This window comes from Homo sapiens, chromosome 4 (assembly GCF_000001405.40).
Source record: "Homo sapiens chromosome 4, GRCh38.p14 Primary Assembly".
NCBI lineage: Eukaryota > Metazoa > Chordata > Mammalia > Primates > Hominidae > Homo > Homo sapiens.
In genome coordinates, this window is record NC_000004.12 from 94,966,836 (window position 1) to 94,987,785 (window position 20,950).

General features: G+C 37.4%; 1 protein-coding gene across 7 annotated transcripts in view; it reads left to right on the forward strand.

The window, feature by feature from the left end:
• The window catches only part of BMPR1B (bone morphogenetic protein receptor type 1B), a 400,496-nt gene that overhangs the window by 208,881 nt on the left and 170,665 nt on the right, over window positions 1–20,950 (forward strand). Inside the window, exon 3 of one of the 7 annotated variants that reach the window (XM_047416093.1) lies at window positions 18,806–18,877. The exons of 5 other annotated variants lie outside the window; for them this stretch is intronic. The gene's annotated coding sequence lies outside the window, so the exon portion shown is untranslated. Of the gene's footprint in view, window positions 1–8,176; window positions 8,313–18,805; window positions 18,878–20,950 lie in introns of those variants that run through there. One more of the 7 variants, XM_047416094.1, reaches the window with a different exon arrangement.

The following is a 20,950-nucleotide window of genomic DNA, read 5'->3' on the forward strand; positions in this document are numbered from 1 at the left end:
AAGTGCTTGATATGGTAGATTTATACAGGAAAATTTTCATTAACACAACTAGCTGTTCCCTAAGAGGTGGTATGGAGCAGTTAGGGAACAAATTCTGGAAGTTCTATGAAGAGAGAGACGGTCCTTGGGGAAATATTAGCCTGTAATGGAACAATTATTTTACCTTGGAGTTCACAAGGGGAAGCAAGACAACCAAGTGTTTGAGCTATTTTTATATAATACTCATATGTAGGAAGGAGATAGGAATTTATGACAAAATATATCCAAAGTTGTTGTATATTCAAGTTTTCTAAGTTTATGGAAAAATAAAACTATGGAATTAAGGGATAGTTTCCTCACATATTTTTATATAAGAAAGCCTTTGTAAACCTTTTGTGCACTCTCCAACTCTGCTAAGTAGAAGTAGAAACACCTTTAACATCTTCTTAGGGTAATGATTGATGGTATTTGAATTGAGAAGGCTGCATACAACCATAGCCGTTCAGAAAGTAGGGATTGTCACAAATACGACCCTGTTGTTAGAGATTATTATGCCCACCAACCACATTTATTGTAAAGTAACTTTCTGTAACTGTATTCTCTTTTCTTCTATTATAGATTTCCCTTTCCTCTCCTCTCCTCCCCTCCCCTCTCCTCTCTCCTTCTCTTTCTTTCTTTTTTTTCTTGAGATGGAGTCTTGCTCTGTCACCCAGGCTGGAGTACAGTGGCATGATCTTGGCTTACTGCAGCCTCTACCTCCTGGGTTCAAGCGATTCTCCTGCCTCAGCCTCCTGAGTAGCTGGGATTACAGGTGCACGCCACCATGCCCGGCTAATTTTTTGTATTTTTAGTAGAGATGGGGTTTCACCGTGTTGACCAGGCTGGTCTCGAACTCCTGACCTCAAGTGAGCGCCTGCCTCAGCCTCCCAAAGTGCTGGAATTACAGGCATGAGCCACTGCGCCTGGCCTAGAATAGATAACTTTGATTTACAAGTGTTTTTGGCCACGTGAAAGAGATTTTTTTTCTTCACTTAATAAAACAGTAAGAATACGCTATTCATGTCATAGAACTATAATAGCTTAAAATAAATAATATCCAGAAAGTTATTAGAGAACATGAGATATGGCACATTCTGTAAGAATGACCATTTTCTTTATCTCACTTTGAGGTTATCTTCTTGAAGGCAGTGATAATAACATTTTGGTAGTTTGATTACTTTTCCCGTTAGTTACACAATATAAACTATGCTTGTAACTTTACATTCAGGGACTTTTTCTTTCTTTTTCTTTCTGTCATCTTTGGACTTCCCTAGCATCTCTCCAGACATCATTACTTAACAATACTTTCCTTGGTATGTATGCTTTATTTGCTCAGAGATGAAAAGGTAGCCAAAGACTAAAGTGATTAAAGCTTTCTAGTAATGGTGGCTGCATCTGCCTCCTGTCTTCCTCACTCTTTATGGCAAGATCTCAGTGAGGCTGCACCTGGAGGAACATTGCTCAGCTCTGGGATGTGATAAGTAAATAGTTTTTTTTGTTGTTGTTGTTTTTTTTAATCATGGAGCAAGCTTAAGAAAGCTATTTTTATGTGTTGTAGTTTAAACATTTTTAAATGAAAATGGTATATTGAATTCTGGGGAAAATATGTTTATTTAACAATTAGTCTATCAGACAGCCGAATGTCAATGAGAAAATTTGCACTGCTTGTTAACCACTTAAATGTGTTTATGGGGGAATATTGGAGAAGCAGCAAACCCAAAGTGAGTTTATACTTCTTAATTTAGTTTTGACGTTGACCCTTATGCTACAACTTTCCAAGGCAGGTGGCAGGAACACAGCCTCTGTGCCTCCGATGTTTGAGATAGCTCCAGGCTCTATTCTCTGTTACTCTGTAACATACTGACTCAATGAGAATTTCAGGTCGTGGTGAGTGAGTTTTACCATTGGTAGCATTGTTATTACACTCTTATTTTGTGTTCCCAAGGAATGTGGTCTTTTTGTATAATACTCATATGTAGGAAAAAGATAGGGATTTGCCTACATATTCTCATGTAGGAGGACGTTCTTTGCCATATTCCCTGGGATCCAACTCTACCCTGTTTCTGCTGCCAGATTTCCGTGATTTTCTATTCACAATTCCCAGCTTTACCCTGTTCCTTTTTTGGTGGATTTTCCAGAAGTTAGATAGGCATAGTTTGTCTATATATCCTGAGTTTACTTTTTTTGTTGTTTTTTTTTTGAGACGGAGTCTTGCTTTGTCGCCAGGCTGGAGTGCGGTGGTGTGATCTCAGCTCACTGCAACCGCCACCTCCTGGGTTCAAGCGATTCTTCTGCCTCAGCCTCCCAAGTAGCTGGGACTACATGTGCCCGCCACCACACCTGGCTAATTTTTTTGTATTTTTAGTAGAGACGGGGTTTCACCATTTTGGCCAGGATGGTCTTGATCTCTTGACCTCGTGATCTGCCCGACCCGGCCTCCCAAAGTGTTGGGATCACAGCTGTGAGCCACCATGCCCGTCCATATCCTGAGTTTTCTAAATGGTCCGCTGCTTTCCACCCATCACTGCGATCGCAGTCTGTCATCAAGATGCTTGTTTAGAAGCCTGCAATGGCTGGGCTAGTAGATTGGACTGTTTGTTCTGTTCAGAACCTGAAGCCTTTATTTTAACATTGGGTAGTATTCTCAGAAAATGTGTAGCTATTAAAATGCTTTTTCTTCTCTTTTTTAGCCTGACAAAGTCCTGATTATTTTAAAAATATTTTAAGGATTTGAGGATTAAGAATTTATGTTGTTGGTGGAATGGCGGAGTCAGTATAGCAGAAATCTTCCTTCTCTGCTTTATTTTTCTCCTTAACATTTATCACTAATACATACATATTTCACTTGTGAGTGTTTTCTATTATTTGTCTTCCCCAGTAGAAGGTAGGCTTCATTTGGGAAGGGGATTTTGTCTACTTTGTTCTCCTCTGTATCTTTAGTTCTGATAGCAGTGTCTGGCAGATGGTATTTGCCTAAGAAGTATTTGTAGATGGAAATATTCTAACTTTGTCCAATAATTATATCTTTAAGTTTAAAAATCTAACAAAGAATTAATGATCATAGTGTTTTGGTTGTCTTATGTTTCCTTACATGTAAAAAGGGTGATACTTTAAAGAATTTTTAAATGTTTCTTATACTTTTAAATGGTTTAGTATTTACTATTCTTCAGAGTTATAATTAAAGATTAACTTCTTAGTTACTTATAAGCCAAGATTTTTTTTGTTATATATCTTGTTTTATTTTAAAAAGCTTTTTAAAGAATGTTTAGTAGTTTACTCTGACAATAATTCAGCATCTTAAAGTGCTAGGATATTCTATTGAATATTAATTGCTGATTTATCTGTAGTTAAGCCAATTTCAAGATCTTACTTCAGCTGTTTGTTTTTCTTCTCTTCTCTTCTCTTCTCTTCTCTTCTCTTCTCTTCTCTTCTCTTCTCTTCTCTTCTCTTCTTTCTCTCTCTCTTTCTCTCTTTTTCTCTTTCGGAGTTTCACTCTCTGTCACCCAGGCTGGAGTGTGGTGGCACGATCTCGGCTCACTGCAACCTCTGCCTCGTGGGTTGAAGCTATTCTCCTGCCTCAGCCTCCCGAATAGCTGGGACTACAGGCGCGCCACCATGCCCTGCTACTTTTTGTATTTTTAGTAGAGACAGGGTTTCGCCCTGTTGTCAGACTGGTCAAGAACTCCTGACCTCAGGCAATCTGCCTGCCTTGGCCTCCCAAAGTACTGGGATTACAGGCATGAACCACCACACCCGGCCTGTTCATTTCTGTTTTAAAGTTTTTTTTATTTTTAATTTTTATGGGTACATAAAAGTTGTACATATTTATGGGGTATATGTGATATTTTGATAGCATCACACAATGTGTAATGATTAAATCTCAGTAATTGGGATATATATCACCTGAAACACCTATCATTTCTTTGTTTTGGGAACATTCCAAATCTTCTCTTCCAGCTATTATGAAATATGCGATGATTGTTGACTATAGTTGCTTCATCCTGCTACTGAACACTATTTTTTTTATAGCCCTTTAAGTTACATTTTTTTGGATGAACTCTTTAAATTCATTAAAATCAACTACCCACTATTTAATTGCTCCTAAGACACACAGTCTTAATACATTTTACAGTCACTGAATTTGGGATTTGTCCTAATGACATCATACAACAATTGAAGCTTTTTTCCCTTTCAGTGCTACCTAAAATGGTGGTGCAGCAATATCAATAATGATTTTTACATTTGATGAATTACTTATGTTTCAATGTTTTGGAAACTGGCACTCAGTTTCAGTACTTGTGAAATAAGAGAACTGGACCATGAAATACGATAAATAAAAACAACTTTTTTCCCTCTAGTAATGGATGTGTTTTAGATGAGTTAAGTTTCACTTGAGTGGAAAAAAATATGAGTAGGTCTATTGCTTGGAAAAGAGTGTATCCCATTGGCATTTGACAACATATGTATTAATTGAATTAATCACTGCTAAAAATAAAACCTACTAAGGGTATGTTATTATTTTACTTGTCACTTTAAGGAAAAATAGTTCGGTCTCATCATCTGTCACCCATGTCAGTTAATTGTAGTGCTAAGTTTCATATTACAATAAAAGTGTGATGGTTAAACATACAATATTTTAATTTAATTCAGAGGTGCCTCAATTGCAGGCAGTGCTCACTCTCTACTTCTCTTCCTGATCTTAGCTTGTCATCATAAAGATCAAATCTAATAACTCTTTTTCCTCTTACTGCTTATTTATTGATAGACTTACTCCTTTAAATATTTAATATTACTAGAATATTTAAGATTTTTAAAATAAAATATGAGCTTTTTAAGCATCTAGTATCTTCATCTATAAATTTCAAGATTAATCTAAATTTTATTAGCAGTAAAATATCTCATTAAATACGTTTATGACCATGAAATTGGAAGTTTGGACAGTTTATTTCTTATATACTCCTATAATTTTAAACTAATATAGGTAGTTTCTCTCCTTAAATTTTTCATGTTCAAGACAAAGATGCTATAAATAAAAGTTGTAGAAGTATAGTATCTTATTTAAAAGTAATGATGAGCCTCTTAAATGATTCCAAGGCCATTTAATTTTGACATTACATTGTATTTATGTTGATGGTTTGAGTGATCATTTGATATAAATTTGTTCTGAGAATCAATAAAGGAAATAGAGGAACTAATTATTCAAACTTAATAGTATCATTGCAAATTATAGTATGTACAAAATTCTTATTTACCTCTTAATAGTCTGCTTATTTTTTCTACAATAAATGATGCGGTAAAGGAAAACTATAATCAATTCACTGGATAACATGAACTCTTCTCTTCTTTACAGAGTATTTTGGGGAGAATAAAATCTACTTAAAATATATAATTTGTGTTCAATTTCTTCTCTTGCTAGCTGTAACATTAGCTAACTTGTTTATTTGCTCTTTAAAAAGATAACTTTATTATGACTTTTAAATAAATGTATACTCATTTTAATACATTTGAAAAACATAGACACTATAAGGGAAAAATGAAATATTCATTAGTTCTATTACTTGATACAACCACAGATAACATTTTGGTTAATTTTTTTTTCATTACTTTTCCTAGGTGTACATACCCATACATGTTCATAATATTATATTGTATGTGTTTCTGTAATTTGATTTTGTAATACTCTTATGTTTTACCTTGAACTTATCTCAGGTTTCTAAATTTTACTTTAAACATTTGCATAATATTTCATCATTGGTCACTTAGGTTTCTTCCATTTTTTTTTTGGTCTTATAAGTGGATATAATTATCAGTGAACATGACAGTGGAAAGAGTACGAACTTTAGAGTCAGACCTATGCAAGTTTCAGCTCTGGATATAACTGTTTCTGGATTTGTAACTTTATGCTATTCAGTTTCTCCATTCATAAAATAGAGATAATGCTGGCCTTAAATTATTTAAATATTAGAATTATTATGGTAATGAAGCAGGGTATTTTCTTGACACCTTCAAGGGACTCAGGACAGGGGTGCCTCATTTATTCAGCCTGCCCCTGTCTACCCCTTGTGAGAGGGAGTGTGTGAGCAAACGAGTGCTGGAACCAGAGCGAGTGCTTTTGGGTGTTGGCAGGAACAAACTCCATTTACTTGGCTCACCATGCTCAGCCCCTTGTGGGAGGGAGCAGGTAGGCAAGCAAATATGGGATCCAGTCAGCTGCTTTTGGGCACCAGCAATAGCAAACTCCATGTGGGTCCCGTGACAGCATCTAGGTGGGGTTGCCTATGACCCCCTGAAACCCCAGAGGGTGTGTTGCAGTGCTCTTTCAGCTCTGCCATCTGTGGATGGCTCAAATCTTAACAGCTCAGTGGGCCTTTCACCCTTTTGCATGAGGTGGCTGCCCTCTGCCAGCGAGGGCAAAGGGCCAGTGTGACAGCCTTTTGTATCCACACTCATGGCTCCTGAGCTCTGGTCTGGTGTCCAGGAAAAATGAAGTCACGTGAATGAATTAAAGGATGGTAACTGTGGGGAATTTTATTGTCAATGAAAGTGGCTGTCAGTGGGAAGAGAAGCTGAAAAGGGCACAGGGCGGATAATCATCTTCCCATGAAGTCTGACCATCTCCTGCCAGATTTTTCTCCGAAGTTACACTGTCAAGCTGTCCCTCTGAAGTCAAGCTGCTTCTCTTTGATGTCCTACCATAGTCCTATCTACTGGCTGAGTCTGGAGTTTTTATAAACACAGGATAGGGCAGGGTGGGGCCATGGGTTGTTTAGGAAAAGGCAACATTTGAGCGGGTAAACAGGGATAGAAGTTCTCACTTTGGGCCTCAGTTTCAGGCTTTGTGACTGAGGGTGGGGTTTCGCTGCCCTTTCTGCCTAGAATTTCTCTGCCTCCGTCCCTATCAGTAACAGCATTTTCATAGAACCCAGTTGATAGTAGGTACTAAATCACTATCAGTATCATGATGGTAAATGGTAGTGATTACTCTTTGATTATGCAGAATTCATTTACTGAATTCAGAATTCTGTCTTGAAATTTATGGTCCTTGCTTTGGATAAATTTTTACAAAATAAATTACTAAGAAAAAAGTGGTTACAATGTCGACATTTTAAAGACTCCAGTCATATATCCAGATTGCTTTCCAGAATGTTTATGTCAATTCATGCTTCCAACAGCAGTGTAAGAATGTGCTTTTTGCTGCATACTCTTGAGCACTGAATATTATTAAAAATTATACTGATTTACTTAACAGAAACTCTTGTTGTTTTAATTTTCATTTATTTGATCACCAGTGAAGTTAGTGATTATTTTTATGGCTGTGGTTGTCTTCTGTGTATTGTATGATCTTGTCCATTATTTAATATTTTTCTTTCCAATTTATACGTGCTCTTTGTATTTTAAGGCCATTAACACTTTCTTCTATTTCTAAAAATATATTATTTTTAGCTTGGTATTTAATTTGACTTATAACATTTTTAATCATTCATTTTTTATAGAAGAGTCATTTCAAATATCATTTTTTTTCATGCTGAATCTTATCAGCTACCTTTACTGACTCCCTGCAGCCCTTGTCAGACTAGCTTTCAGGACTCCTCATGTATCCCTCATTGCCTTCCCAACTCTGTCCTGAAATCACTGATGCAGGCTGACTTACCTGTTGTCTGCCTTTTGTAGACTCCTTTTATGTTCTTAACATGATCTGCTTGCTGTATTTCTTACCTTTTCCTTTGCTTCACATCTCTGTGAAGACTGAGTAAAGCTGTAATACCTGATTAAGGCACAGTTTAGCACTTAATTGTTTTATTTTATAATTCTTTTTTTTCGCTAATTAGGTTAGTCTTCCCAGCTGTATTGAAACTTGCTTCAGAGCAGCGTTTATAGTTTGTACCTTTGTATGTCCCCAAATCTCCTAGCACAGGCAGGGAACATAATAAGCATTCAGTGAGTTAATTTTTGTAAATGCAGATAATTGCCTGATTCCCACCACTCTCCCAAACACACAAATAGACACACATTTATTTTTACCTAGCAACAGAGAAGTTAAGAGAAATGAACCGTAAAGGGTTTGGAACAAATATTTTGGAGTTTATTGCATTCTGTTTTCTCAGTTGTGCTCTGAGTCAGACAGATTACACATAGCCCAAGATATAGCCAGGAAACCACTTCACTAACTGTAAAGAGCCAACAGACTTCACAAGGACGAAACTTCCAGTTTGTTATTTACGGTGCCACAAAAGGTATTGGGCTACTTCAGGCTCCAAGGTCTCCTCAGGATGTGGGCTTTGGTGGTGGAGCAGGTGAGTAGGAGGGGCATGTGTCCTCAGCCAGAATATAGATAGGACGCAGAATATTGATTGGGTGTCAAGGAGGACAGAACCATTAACTCTGTCCAGGAAGTTGCCTTGAGCGTTCTCAGAGATTGAGGTTTTTGTCTGGAGACTTGGATAATTTAGTGATCAAATCTGAACTCTTTTCATTTTAATAAATAAAATCTTAATTTCCTTTTGTTTTTGTTTTTTTTTTTTTTTTTTGAGACGGGGTCTCATCCCGTCACCCAGGCTGAAGTACAGTGGTGCAGTCACGACTCACTGCAGCCTCCCTTCCTGGGCTCAGGTGATCCTCCCACCTCAGCCTCCCAAATAGCTGGGACTACAGGCATGCGCCACCATGCCTGGCTAAATTTTTTTTTTTGGTATTTTTTGTAGAGGTGGGATTTCACCATGTTGCCATTCACCATGTTGCCAAGGCTGGTTTTGGACTCCTGGGCTCAAGCAATCCACCCACCTCCCAAAGTGCTAGGACTACAGGCATGAGCCAATTTGTTTTTTAAAATATCATGGTATTAAAAAGAAGATGATATTATAATACCTAACCTGTTTTGGTTTTATTTCATGATTTCTCCCAAAGATTTATAGACAATGTCATTGAAAGAAAATGTTTTACCTTTCTTTCTAAATTTTTTACCAGGTATCTATTGCTGTTTTCAGTTGTTTCTGTGACATTTCCCACATATAATCAAAATGAGGTTTAGTAATTGGTGCTTTTTGTTTCTATTAATTCTATCTGTATAACAGGTCATTGAAATCCATAGTGGCTTAAAAACACAGTAACAATTTTACGATCTTTTCCAGTTTCTGGGGTCAGGAATTTGTGTAGGGTTTGGCTATTTGCTTCTGGGTTAGGGTATCTCCTGCATTTTGCAGTCAGGCAGCGACTAGAGTTGGAATAGCAAGTGGCTGAAGTAGCTGGGGCTAGTCAGACACTTCTCACTTTTCATATAACCTCAGGGTCTGGCCGTGTGGTCCCTTCACATGGGCTAATTTGGGCTTCCTCATAGCATGGCAGCCCCAAGGCAGTCAGACTGCTAGTATATATGGCAGCTGAATATTTAAAGAGAGAATACTGTATTACAGTGAGCAAGGTGAGAGCTGCATTGACTTTTATGATCCAGTCTCTGAAATCAGATAGCTTCATTTATGCCATGGTCAGAAATTCAAGGTGAGGTAATATAGACTCCAAGGCTTGAGTGTCAGAGTTATATGTAAGAAACAACATGTGGAATGGGAAAAATCATTGGGGTCATCTCAGGAAAATATAATCTGCCACAGTCCATCCTCTAACCACAACCACTTATATAGCTCTCCTACATGCAAAATACACTCATTTCTGCCCTCAAACCCCCCATGTCTTATTCCATTACTGCATTAGTTTCAAGTTCAGCGTTTTGTCTTCCAAATCAATTCCAGACACAGATAAGGCTCCTTGGCTAAGGCTTCTTGAATATTGAAAGCCTTTGAATTAAGGTTCTTTGGAAAACCTTTGAACTAAAAAGATAAGTCATCTGCCTTTCACACACTAAACATTCAATGGTGGGGCAAGCATAGGAAAATTCTATAGTTCTTTCTGTTCAAAAGGGGGAAAATGAGAGGCTGTTATATTCCATACTGACTCTGAAACCCAGTTGGTCATGTTGCCATTTGCTGAATGAGTAATCAGTCCATCTCCTGGGAATTGTTCTCTGTGGTGCTTGGCTCCTCCTGTTTGTTCTCTGGTTTCCATCTTCTGATTCATCATTCTTTTTCCAAAAAACATGACCTGTATTTGTAGCTGATAATTTCCTCTGCCTTTTTCTTGGGAATGGAAATTTGGGTGTCCAGAGGTCACTTTTAATTTTGTATTGTCTTTGTTTCCTTTCAGTTCCAGGTGTTACAGTTTTAAAATTTTGAGGGTGTCTTATGCATCAATTTATAATCTACCCCATTAGCAAAAGCCATGCCCTTACATTTTTGAAATAATCGCTTCTTTACCAGAGATTCCCTGTGAGGCTGTGATGGGATAACACCCTGATGGTTCTGGTAGTTAGGTTGTTGAGCAGAAAAAGTCAGCTACATATGCCCTTAACATCTTTAGAAGGCTTTTGTCTGTCTTAAAGGATGTATAAGGTGCCATCATATTGGTGTTAAAGGGTTTTGGTAGTCACACCCTTACTTTTATTTGTAAACCAAGTCTTTCTGACTATACCTGGTATTTTATTTTTCCCTTGAAGCTCTTTCTTATTTTGAGACTGTTTTGTTCTCTGGAGTGACAGGGAATGCAAAATAGTTTTATTTTCAAACCCAGCAAGATGCCTTTTTTTTTTTTTTTTTAGTTCCTCTAAATTTTGCTGAATTTGAAGTTTCTTTGTAAACTCATCTATCTCTGTCCATGTGTTATAAGAAGCAAAAATGGCCAGGCACAGTGGCTCACGCTTGTAATCCCAGCACTTTGGGAGGCCGAGGCGGGCAGATCATGAGGTCAGGAGTTTGAGACCAGCCTGGCCAACATAGTGAAACCTTGTCTCTACTAAAAATACAAAAATTAGCTGGGCATGGTGGCGCGTGCCTGCAGTCCCAGCTAGTCAGAAGGCTGAGGCAGGAGAATCGCCTGAACCCAGGTGGCGGAGGTTGTGGTGAGCGGAGATTGCACCACTGCATTCCAGCCTGGGCAACAGAAGAAAAAGAAAAGAAGCAAAAGGAAGCCAGGTGCTCCTTTCGGTATTCTACTTGGAAATATTCTTAGCTAGGTAGTTGGAGTTTTATTAGGTATATTTTCTATTTTCAACATCACTATGGGCAATGGTATGGCTATTTTTTTTCTAGTACATAACAAGAATCTCTTCCTTCCAATAACTTAATCCTCATTTCTCTGAAGCCCACACAGCCATATTTCTTGAGGCCCATTGGCTTTCACTAACAATCTCTTGCAGGCCCTTCTGTCTTCCATATGCTGTCCAGTTCCAAGGCCAATGCCACATGTTTTGAGTATTTTTTTTATTATAGCACTCACTTCTGCTATCAAAGTATGTTCCAGTTATCTACTGCTTTTTAACAAATAACCATAAAACTTAGTAGATTAAAACAACAAAACAATTTTATCACCTTTTAAGGTTTCTGTGGGCCAGGATTTTTGGCAGGCATCAACTGGGCAATTCTAGTTTAGGGTCTCTCATGCATTTGCAGTCAGATGGTGTCTGCATTTGGAACAGTGACAGGCTGAATCAGCTAGGTGCTGTCCAGGCATCTCTTTATTCGTGTAGTTTCAAGGTCTCTCTAGTTTTTCCACATTGGATGGTTTGGCCTTTCTGCCAGCATAGTGTACTCTGGATAAGCAGACTGCTAAAGTGGTAGTGAAAGACTTCAAAAACACATTCTGGTGAGTAAGGTGGTGTTGAATGAAATTTTATGACCTGCCTTTCACACACCAAACATTTATTGGTGGTACGAGCATGGGAAATCATATAATATCACATTTGTCATAGACATAAGCTTATCAGGATCTAAGTAGAAAGAACTTAGAACCCACCTCTCAATGTGAGGAGTCTCAAAGACAACAGAAGAAGAACATTTCGAATGGGAGAGATTGTAGTGGCCATCTGTATTGGTCTGTTCTCATGCTGCTAATAAAGACATACCTGAGACTGGGTAATTTATAAAGAAAAAGAGGTTTAATGAACTCACGGTTCCACATGGCTGGGGAGGCCTCACAATCATGGCAGAAGGGGAAGGAGGAGCAAAGGCACACCTTACATGGTGGCAGAGCAAGACACCATCACACATACATACACACACACACACACACACACACACACACGAAAGGTAAGAGTAGAAGTTGTCATCATTTTAGCTCATATGCAGTGAATTCCATGACCAATAGATTGTGCAGAAAATCTGTCTACTTCTTTGTCTTACTCACTATCATGAGAACAACACAGGAAAACCCACCCCTATGATTCAGTTACCTCCCACGGGGTCCCTTCATGACACGTGGGGATTATGAGAGCTACAGTTCAAGATGAGATTTGGTTTGGGAGACAGCCAAACCATATCACCATCTTTGCAAAAATAAAAAAATTAAAAAGAAATCATCCATACTTCTTTGTATCCAGTCTTTACAGGTCAACTCCAAAGTTAATAGACTGTAGGTATAGATGTTGACAGACACAGAATCTTTTATGTTAAAAAAAAACTTACACATATTTTTGTTTTCATCCTCAAGTTTTACTATATAAACATCTAGTGAACTTCTATAGTATTTAGTGAATCAAATTTGAAGTTCTCTGGCAAAGCCAAAATTATGACTGTGGGTGGTGCATGTTTTAAGTTATATCAGGTTCTCAGACATGCAGAATTTTTAAGTGGCAATAGTTTTAACTGGCCAGGTATAGAAACCTTGTGTTTTTGTAAGAAAAGAGGAAAAATATCCCTTTAAAGTGAAGAAAAATTACATCTCTTTCTAAAATCTAGCTTTGTATAAGTATTGACAGATTGTCCCAGTGATTCTCAAAATTCATCTTTTCAAATATCAAGAACCATATGGTTAAACTTCATAAAAATGAATAGTGAAAACTTCATTTAAGGCGACGAATGTGCAGCTGCCAGCATCTCCTTTCTTCTTGGCCACACCAGCTTGGCTAATCTTCTGTCACTACATATGTGGGCCACGTGTGCTTTGGAAAATGTTGGACTGTTTCGGATGTTTAGTCTGCATAGGCTGGATCCTGCTCACTGCATCTTATTACTCCGGTTTCCCCTTTGCTTTCAGCAGCAACACTATCCAGCTAGTTTTTGTGGGGGTACCAGGTATGCAGCAACTTGTGAAAACCAAGGAGCAGAAAACTGCTACCTGCCTGAAACACAAATATATCTTCACAGGGCTGTCAGGAGACGATCTTCCCTGTAGCTCTCTTAAAAGGATTAAAGGTGATATCAAATGAATGGAAAATACCAGAATAAGTCATCACAGTTCACTGCAATTATTACTGTACCTAAGAAAGCACACCACTTTTTGGCAGTTGAACTGGCCACTGATAAGATTTATTCATCACAAAATTGAAGGCAGTGTTTCTTTGTGAATTAACTATAGTTTGAATGATTTTCTAAAATATAGGCAAAGCATGGTTATAATAGAATAAGTTAAGTTCCAAATAGGATTACTTATTTCATGTTGTAGCCCTAATTTTGCCTCAACCACTCACCCTCTGGTAAATTCCTCTGTGATATACAACAGGTCCTCAAGTAATGCCTTGTTCAGCATTGTTTTCTTCAGTGACATTGATGAGAAAAAAAATTGATTCCCAGCCAAGGCCCCTCTTTGTATGGAGTCTGGCTTTCTCCCCATGTCCGTGTGGGTTTCCTTTAGGTACTTCAATTTTCTTCCACATCCTAAAGATGTGTGCATTAGGTGAATTGGCATATGTGCATTGTCCCAGTCAGAATGAGTGTGGGTGTGTGCGTGCATTCTGTGAGGTAATGGTGTCCTGTCCAGAGTTATTTCCCGCCTTGCACCCTGAGCTGCTGAGATAGGTTCTGGCCACCCAAAACCCTGAATTGGAATAGGTGGGTTGGAAAAATTAGTGAATGAATGAATACAAATCATTGTCAAATCAAAGTTTGTAACAATATAGTCTACTAGACAAGGGAAGACAGGTACTTAATACAAGTTGAGAATACTTGGGTATTAGCCGGGCGTGGTGGTGCGGTCCTGTAATCCCAGCCACTCAGGAGGCTGAGGCAGGAGAATCGCTTGAACCCAGGAGGCAGAGGTTGCAGTGAGCCGAGATTGCATTACTACCCTCCAGCCTAGGTGGCAGAGCAAGACTCCATCACACACACACACACACACACACACACACACAAAAAGTAGAAGTTGTCATTTTAACTCATATACAGTGAATTCCATGACCAATAGATTGTGCAGAAAATTTGTCTACTACCTTGAAATTCCCTTAGATAAAAAATTGGTAGTGTAATACTTATATATGCAGTTAGGTAAAATATTGCTTTGGGTAGGTAAATAATGGAATTTCATAAATTTATCCTTTCTTTTTTTTTTTGAGATGAGGGTATGCTCTATTGCCCAGTTTGGAGTGCAGTGGCGCAATCACTGCTCACTGCAGCCTTGAACTCCTGGGCTCAAGCAATCATCCTTCCACCTCAGCCTCCCAAAGCACTGGGATTACAGGCATGAGCCACCATGCCCAGCAAATTTATCTTCTATTGAATGGTTGAATTTTTAATTAAATTTCTTCAAGTAGTTAGCATATTTTAATATTTCTAATAGAAACACGAGGAGAAGCTCTACCAGTGGAACTCTTAGGACTCTCACACCACATGATAGTTAAATCAGTTTTTAACTGATTAGCTTGCCTTTCTGAAATGTGACCAGTACTTCATTGCTTTTTATTTTCTTACAATTTAATTTAGCCTGCTTAGTTTATGGATGATTTCAGCTGTTAAAAAATAAGAACCTAAATTGACACTAAGACTTGGAAAATGTAACCTATGATTAGGAGACTTTATTTTCCACTAAATACACTCTAAGGAAAGTTATCCTATGTGTTTAATTGAACAATAGAAATGGCAACTGTGCCTGATAAACGTATCTAAATGTTTAAAATCATCATGTAAACCCATGATGATTCTTAGGTTCCAATAGTTTCAGTAAATCAGCTTCACTTTTCAGAATATTTCCCAGTTGAATTATACAGCTGTAGCTGGTGAACTCTTACCAGAATTACATGCTGCAAAATGATATGCCCTTTCAGCAGATAGGCTTAAGAACACAGAGAACACACACTAGTGGAATCCTGGTGGTCAGTCTTAGGAGGAATCAGAAAGAATAATGTAAGCAAAATGTAGATACTGTGTTACATTTTGAGTATCTTTTCCTCCTAACAGATTCAAAGTTACCCACAAATTATAAGCAAATGTATTCCAGAATGCACAGGGAGAATACATAAAAAACAATGAATCTGAGATGGATTTAATTGTGTTGGGTATTTCCAGAAGAACTCATTTTCACCTAAATTATTTGAGTTTTTAGAGGCAAGCATTTCAAGAATTGCTTTCATTTTTGTTATTCTTAAAGAGAATTTACTTTAGAAAGAAATGTATCCAAAGGTGTATTGCCTTTTTTTAAAAAAAAACAAAACAAACAAACCAAATATTCAGATAGGAATTAAACAATCAGATGCATGACGAAAGTTTCAGGTGAAATCTTTATCTTCCAAAGGCTGCTTATGTAATTAGACTAAAATTTAAATTTCTTACTGTGGCCTAAATTAGTCCTTCTCAACCTTGGCTGCATTATCAGAATTACATGGAGAACTTTAAAGAATACTGGCATCTGCCTTTTACTCCAGCAATTCTGATTTCATTGGTTTGGGATATGTCCTGGGTATCTGGATTTTTAAAAAAGTCCTCGTTGATATTAATGTGCAGCACGATTTAAGAACCACTGGCCAAAAACAACCATGCCTTTTGGCCACCATCTCCTTATTTGACATCATCATGTGTCCTCTTTACCATTAAAAAAAATTTGTCAGCCGGGTGCGGTGGCTCACGCCTGTAATCCCAGCACTTTGGGAGGCTGAGGCGGGCGGATCAGGAGATCAAGACCATCCTGGCTAACACGGTGAAACCCCGTCTCTACTAAAAAATACAAAAAATTAGCCAGGTGTGATGGTGGGCGCCTGTAGTCCCAGCTACTCGGGAAGCTGAGGCAGGAGAATGGCATGAACCCGGGAGGCGGAGATTGTCGTGAGAGGAGATCGTGCCACTGCACTCCAGCCTGGGCGACAGAGCCAGACTCCATCTCAAAAAAGAAAAAAAAAAACAAACGAAAAAAAAATTGTCACCTGAATACTAAAGATTGTTCTTAACCAAGGAACTTTCCATTAGCAGTTTCTTCTGCTTGGAATGCTCTTCCTACAGGTCTTTACGTGGCTGGCTCTTTCTCACCATTCAGGTGTCAGCTCCAAGGGCTCTGCTTTAAGCAGACATTTTCTGAATTTCCCTGTCTAAAGCTTTGTTTTCCCAAATATTATCACATTATTCTGTTTAAATTTTATTATTGCTTTTTTTCCCTATTTGTTATTATCACATTCATTTGTTAGTGTTTGTTTTCCCACTAGTATGTAAAGTCCATGAGAGAAGATACCTGACACGCTGCTTCACCATCATATATCCAACGCTTAAAACTAAGCCTACCACATAGCAGTTGCTCAATAAGTGTTTTTTAAACAAATGAATAAAAATGCTAATTGAAAATGATTTTGGTAATATTCATAATTACATCTTATTTTTGCCAAAAAGTTACATGAAATCACATTTAAAAAATTTGAGTAGAGACCTAGAATGAAATGAATGTCAACAGGCAGAGAGGAAGTACACTTAGAAATGTGATAGTCTCAATATGGAAAATTTAAGGGCAGTGATATTAAGCCTGTTACCACCACTTAAGGCCCTAACTCCAAAGCCATATTTTGGTCTTACCACAGTGTCCCATATTAGAAATTGTCATATACTTTCTGGTTAACGTCTCCTATTTTAAGAACCCAAGTATCACCTCCCCCTCCACAAAGCCTTCTCTGAGCTCAGTCTCCAGGAAGCTTTATTTTCTATGTTGCATGTTTATCTCATGGCCTTTGCCGTATTGTAATTGTAGTGATGTAGCCACCAGTCTGTCTCCCTCACTAGCTTTTAGCCTCACTGGGAACAGGGATTGTGTCTAGAGTGCCAGGCCCATAACAGGTACTAAGCAAGTGTTTATTGAATGAAAGCATAAAATAAATAAGAAATGTTCCATGAGAAGGATTAGAACTGCTAATTAAAATTATAAAATGGATTTGTCAGGAATGTAAGTGAGTTGAAGTAATTTTTAATAGAATAAAGCAATAAAAAACGATATACTAAGCCAATTGGAGGGGGAGGGCATGGTGTTATGCACACTTAGGAAATTAAGAAAACATTGTTGGTGCCAATAAGTCTGTGCACTGACTTCCAACTGATATGTGGCTTGTCATCTGAATAAGGTTTTCATCACTCACTTGGGACTTTTTATACATTATTTACTCTTTTTGATAAACTTCTCAATAGCTGCTATTCAGATAGATGCATTTTCCAGTAACACCTGATATGCATTTTAAAATGTAGCTTTTAAATGGTATTGATTGCCAGTAAACTCAATGAAAACTTTCATCAGTGTACTTTGAACTTCATTATTCTACCCAAAAGAAATTGTAGCAGTCCTTGGGCACATAAATATTTAAGAATCCCTATGTAGAGGCCCTATTAGCTCCATGTCTACTTTTGTCATAATTTTAGCACTTAAATACTACTTAGGATTGCCCCTTCAGATTGTATCCTTCTTCAAAATCTCTACAGTACTACTATGCATAATTTTACCTAATAGCTAGATGACTAGGTTTTTCAAAAGGACAGTCATACAGTTGAAATGGACATATTTTTATCGTGTTTTTAAAAATTACACAGGTAATTAAACAGAGAAAGAAAAATTGGTGTTCAGGACAGAAATTCTGTTCAGGTTCCCAAAGTCCTTGTGAAATACACCACAGTATTGTCATAGCTTTGCTGCTGTAAGCCTGGAAACTGGTGTGCGCTTTTCCCTTCTGCTTTTAGGAGGAAACGCTACCAGTGTCACATTTCTAAGAAGGAGACAGCAAGCAATGAAAGCAGTGTCTTGATACCAGAGTTACAGCATCCAAAGTAGTTTTCCTTCTTTTAATTTGAATCTGCATTCTCACATATTTGGATATAGTTCTGTTCTGGCTTAAATGTTACTGTATAGAAATAAAGGTTTACAGAAGGTCATTCTGTGAACAGAGGTATGGAAAGTCTACACGTGGCACTTCCTGTGAACAGATGGCATGGTACGTTAAGAGAGCATAAGGTGGGATTTCTGTTATGGGCAAAGGGGGAAATGAATCTGAAAGGACAGGGCAAGGTCAAGGTGGTGGAAAGGCCTTTATTCTATGCTGAGAAGTTTGAACCCTCTGTTGCCAGAGGAGGTCTTGATTAAAAAAATCAGCCTAGTAGCAATATAGAAGATTGATGGAGGAGAAAGGAAAGTGGTGCCAGGGAGACTAGATTGTGATCATTTCAGTATTTAAAGTTAGATAAAAGCTAAGTCTGAATTTCAGTAGGAACAGAGGAAAGAAAAGGAGACAAGCTCCAGAGATTCAGAATATACTCAAGAATCTCGAGTAGATAGTAACTAATTGGAAATAGGGGAGAGCAGAAGTGAGACACTGAAATTTTTAGTGTGGTTGACTAAGTAATGATACTGCCATTAACCAACACCAGAGAAACCAAAATAAGAGCTGTGTGTGTGTGTGTGTGTGTGTGTGTGTGTGTGTGTGTGTGTGTGTGTTGGCCATTGTCAACAAAAATATATATGCCCTAAATTGGAAGACTTCGTTCTGTTCCATGGTAATTATTGTGTTTTCCTATAGGAAAATAATTTTGCTGAGATTTGTTCCTGTGGTGTTACTGAAAGATATAGTAGTAAGGGCCCAAGATTTAAGGTGAGATGACCTGAATTCAGTTTCTATCTATATTTCTTTCGAACATTCACACACTGGGCTATTCCCTTACCTGCTTTGAAGTTCACTTTCCTCATATGAAAAGTAGGGATACTTTCTTATTGCCTATCCCGATGAACAAATGAAAGAGCACTTATAAAAATATAAAGTGCCACATAAATGTGAGTCGTTAGATTTCTACAGACTGTTAGGAGTTGGACCGTAAGAGAGGTTTTACCCAAGCACCATGGATCCCTTAGTCCTTAGACATGTTTTTGAGGTTCCTGGACTGTATTCTTTCATTTTCTCTACTGGTGTTAAGTATCAATTATAAGGGGGCAGTTTGTATATATTTTTCCAAACATAAGTATTTATATAAAACAATTATTTTGATTCATTGGTTTATACCAGTTACCTTTAAAACAAAACAAAAACATAAGTAGTTTAATTACTATATTGACATGCTATTTGTTAACATTATTTCGTCTCTTTATTGGGTCATGAAAAAAAGTTTAAGGATTTTCTTTATTCTTATGTTTTCTACTTTTACTATATTTCCTCAGCTCAATTGCACCTCTGTTCTTGCTCAGTCTAGGACTCATACCAGATTGAAGTAAATTAGAGGATGGAAAACAAAACAAAACAAAACTCAGAGTACATTCCTGTCAGTTTTCACCCACTTTAAAGTAATCTCATGAACGTAAAGTTTTCAAAAACCAAAAGAATTGCTTCCATCCATCTTAAAGTCTAATTTAATCAGGTCTTGACAATGTATTTTACGTGACAATGTTCAGATCTACCAAAGTATAGAAGTGAGATTTTTCATTTTTAGTCCTTTTTTTTTCATTACTCTTTAGTTATTTTTGACACCACGTTTCAAGAAAATTTCAGGCCTTGTCAGTCAGAATGGCAAGTAGAAACAACCACATTTTATATGTGAACCAAACAAGATTAATGGATGTTTCATTCATTTTTTACAAAGATTAGTTTGTTTTATTTCTTACTGTTTCCTCTTTTTAAAAAATATATTTTGATTAAAAATATAAAATGGTCCGGGCGCAGTGGCTCACGCCTGTAACCCCGGCACTTTGGGAGGCCAAGGTGGGTGGATCATGAGGTCAGGGGATGGAGACCATCCTGGCTAACACGGTGAAACCCCGTCTCTACTAAAAATGCAAAAAACTAGCCGGGCGTGGTGGCGGGTGCCTGTAGTCCCAGCTACTCGGGAGGCTGAGGCAGGAGAATGGCGTGAACCCAGGAGGCGGAGCTTGCAGTGAGCCGAGATCGCGCCACTGCACTCCAGCCTGGGCGACAGAGCCAGACTCTGTCTCAAAAAAAATATATATATATATAATATATAATATTTATGTTATATATGTATTATATATACTATATATGTATATATAATATGTATATATGTATATGTAATATATATAATGTATATATACATATACATATATGTGTAATATACTATATATAATATATCATATATATGTAATATATATCATATTATATATAATATATGTAATATATAATATAATATAAAATATATATTATATATACATATATAAAATGAATAATGATATTCCTGAGCTTTGCAATTTAAATCTTCCATATGAAAGTGTATTTATCATGGAGCTGTAAAATAGACCAGTGTTTTTGTTTTTTTAATGAATTTTCAGACTTAATCCACATTCCTGTTTTCACTGCCTAAATTTAATCTTTCAGTGATATTTTCTGAGCTACTGCCATATAATTAATGAACAGTGAAAGTCAGTTTAAACTTGGTAGACAAATATTCTCCTCTCCCATTGAGACCATTGAGTTGGTTTTTGCTGAGTCCCTCCTTCCTGGGATTTTCCCCTTTCCATTCTGATGTATGACTTTAGCTTGTCTTAGGGAATCCACCAATCTTTGCTTCTTTCCTTTTAGCTGACATAAATCTCTCTGGCATGGATGGTTTCAGGACCACTTTTTTGACCCCCCCTCGAAAGATACTTCTTATTCTTAAGATTCCGGTTGCACTGCCTAATCAAATATACGGCAGTTTTTTTTTTCTAGACATAACTATTTCAT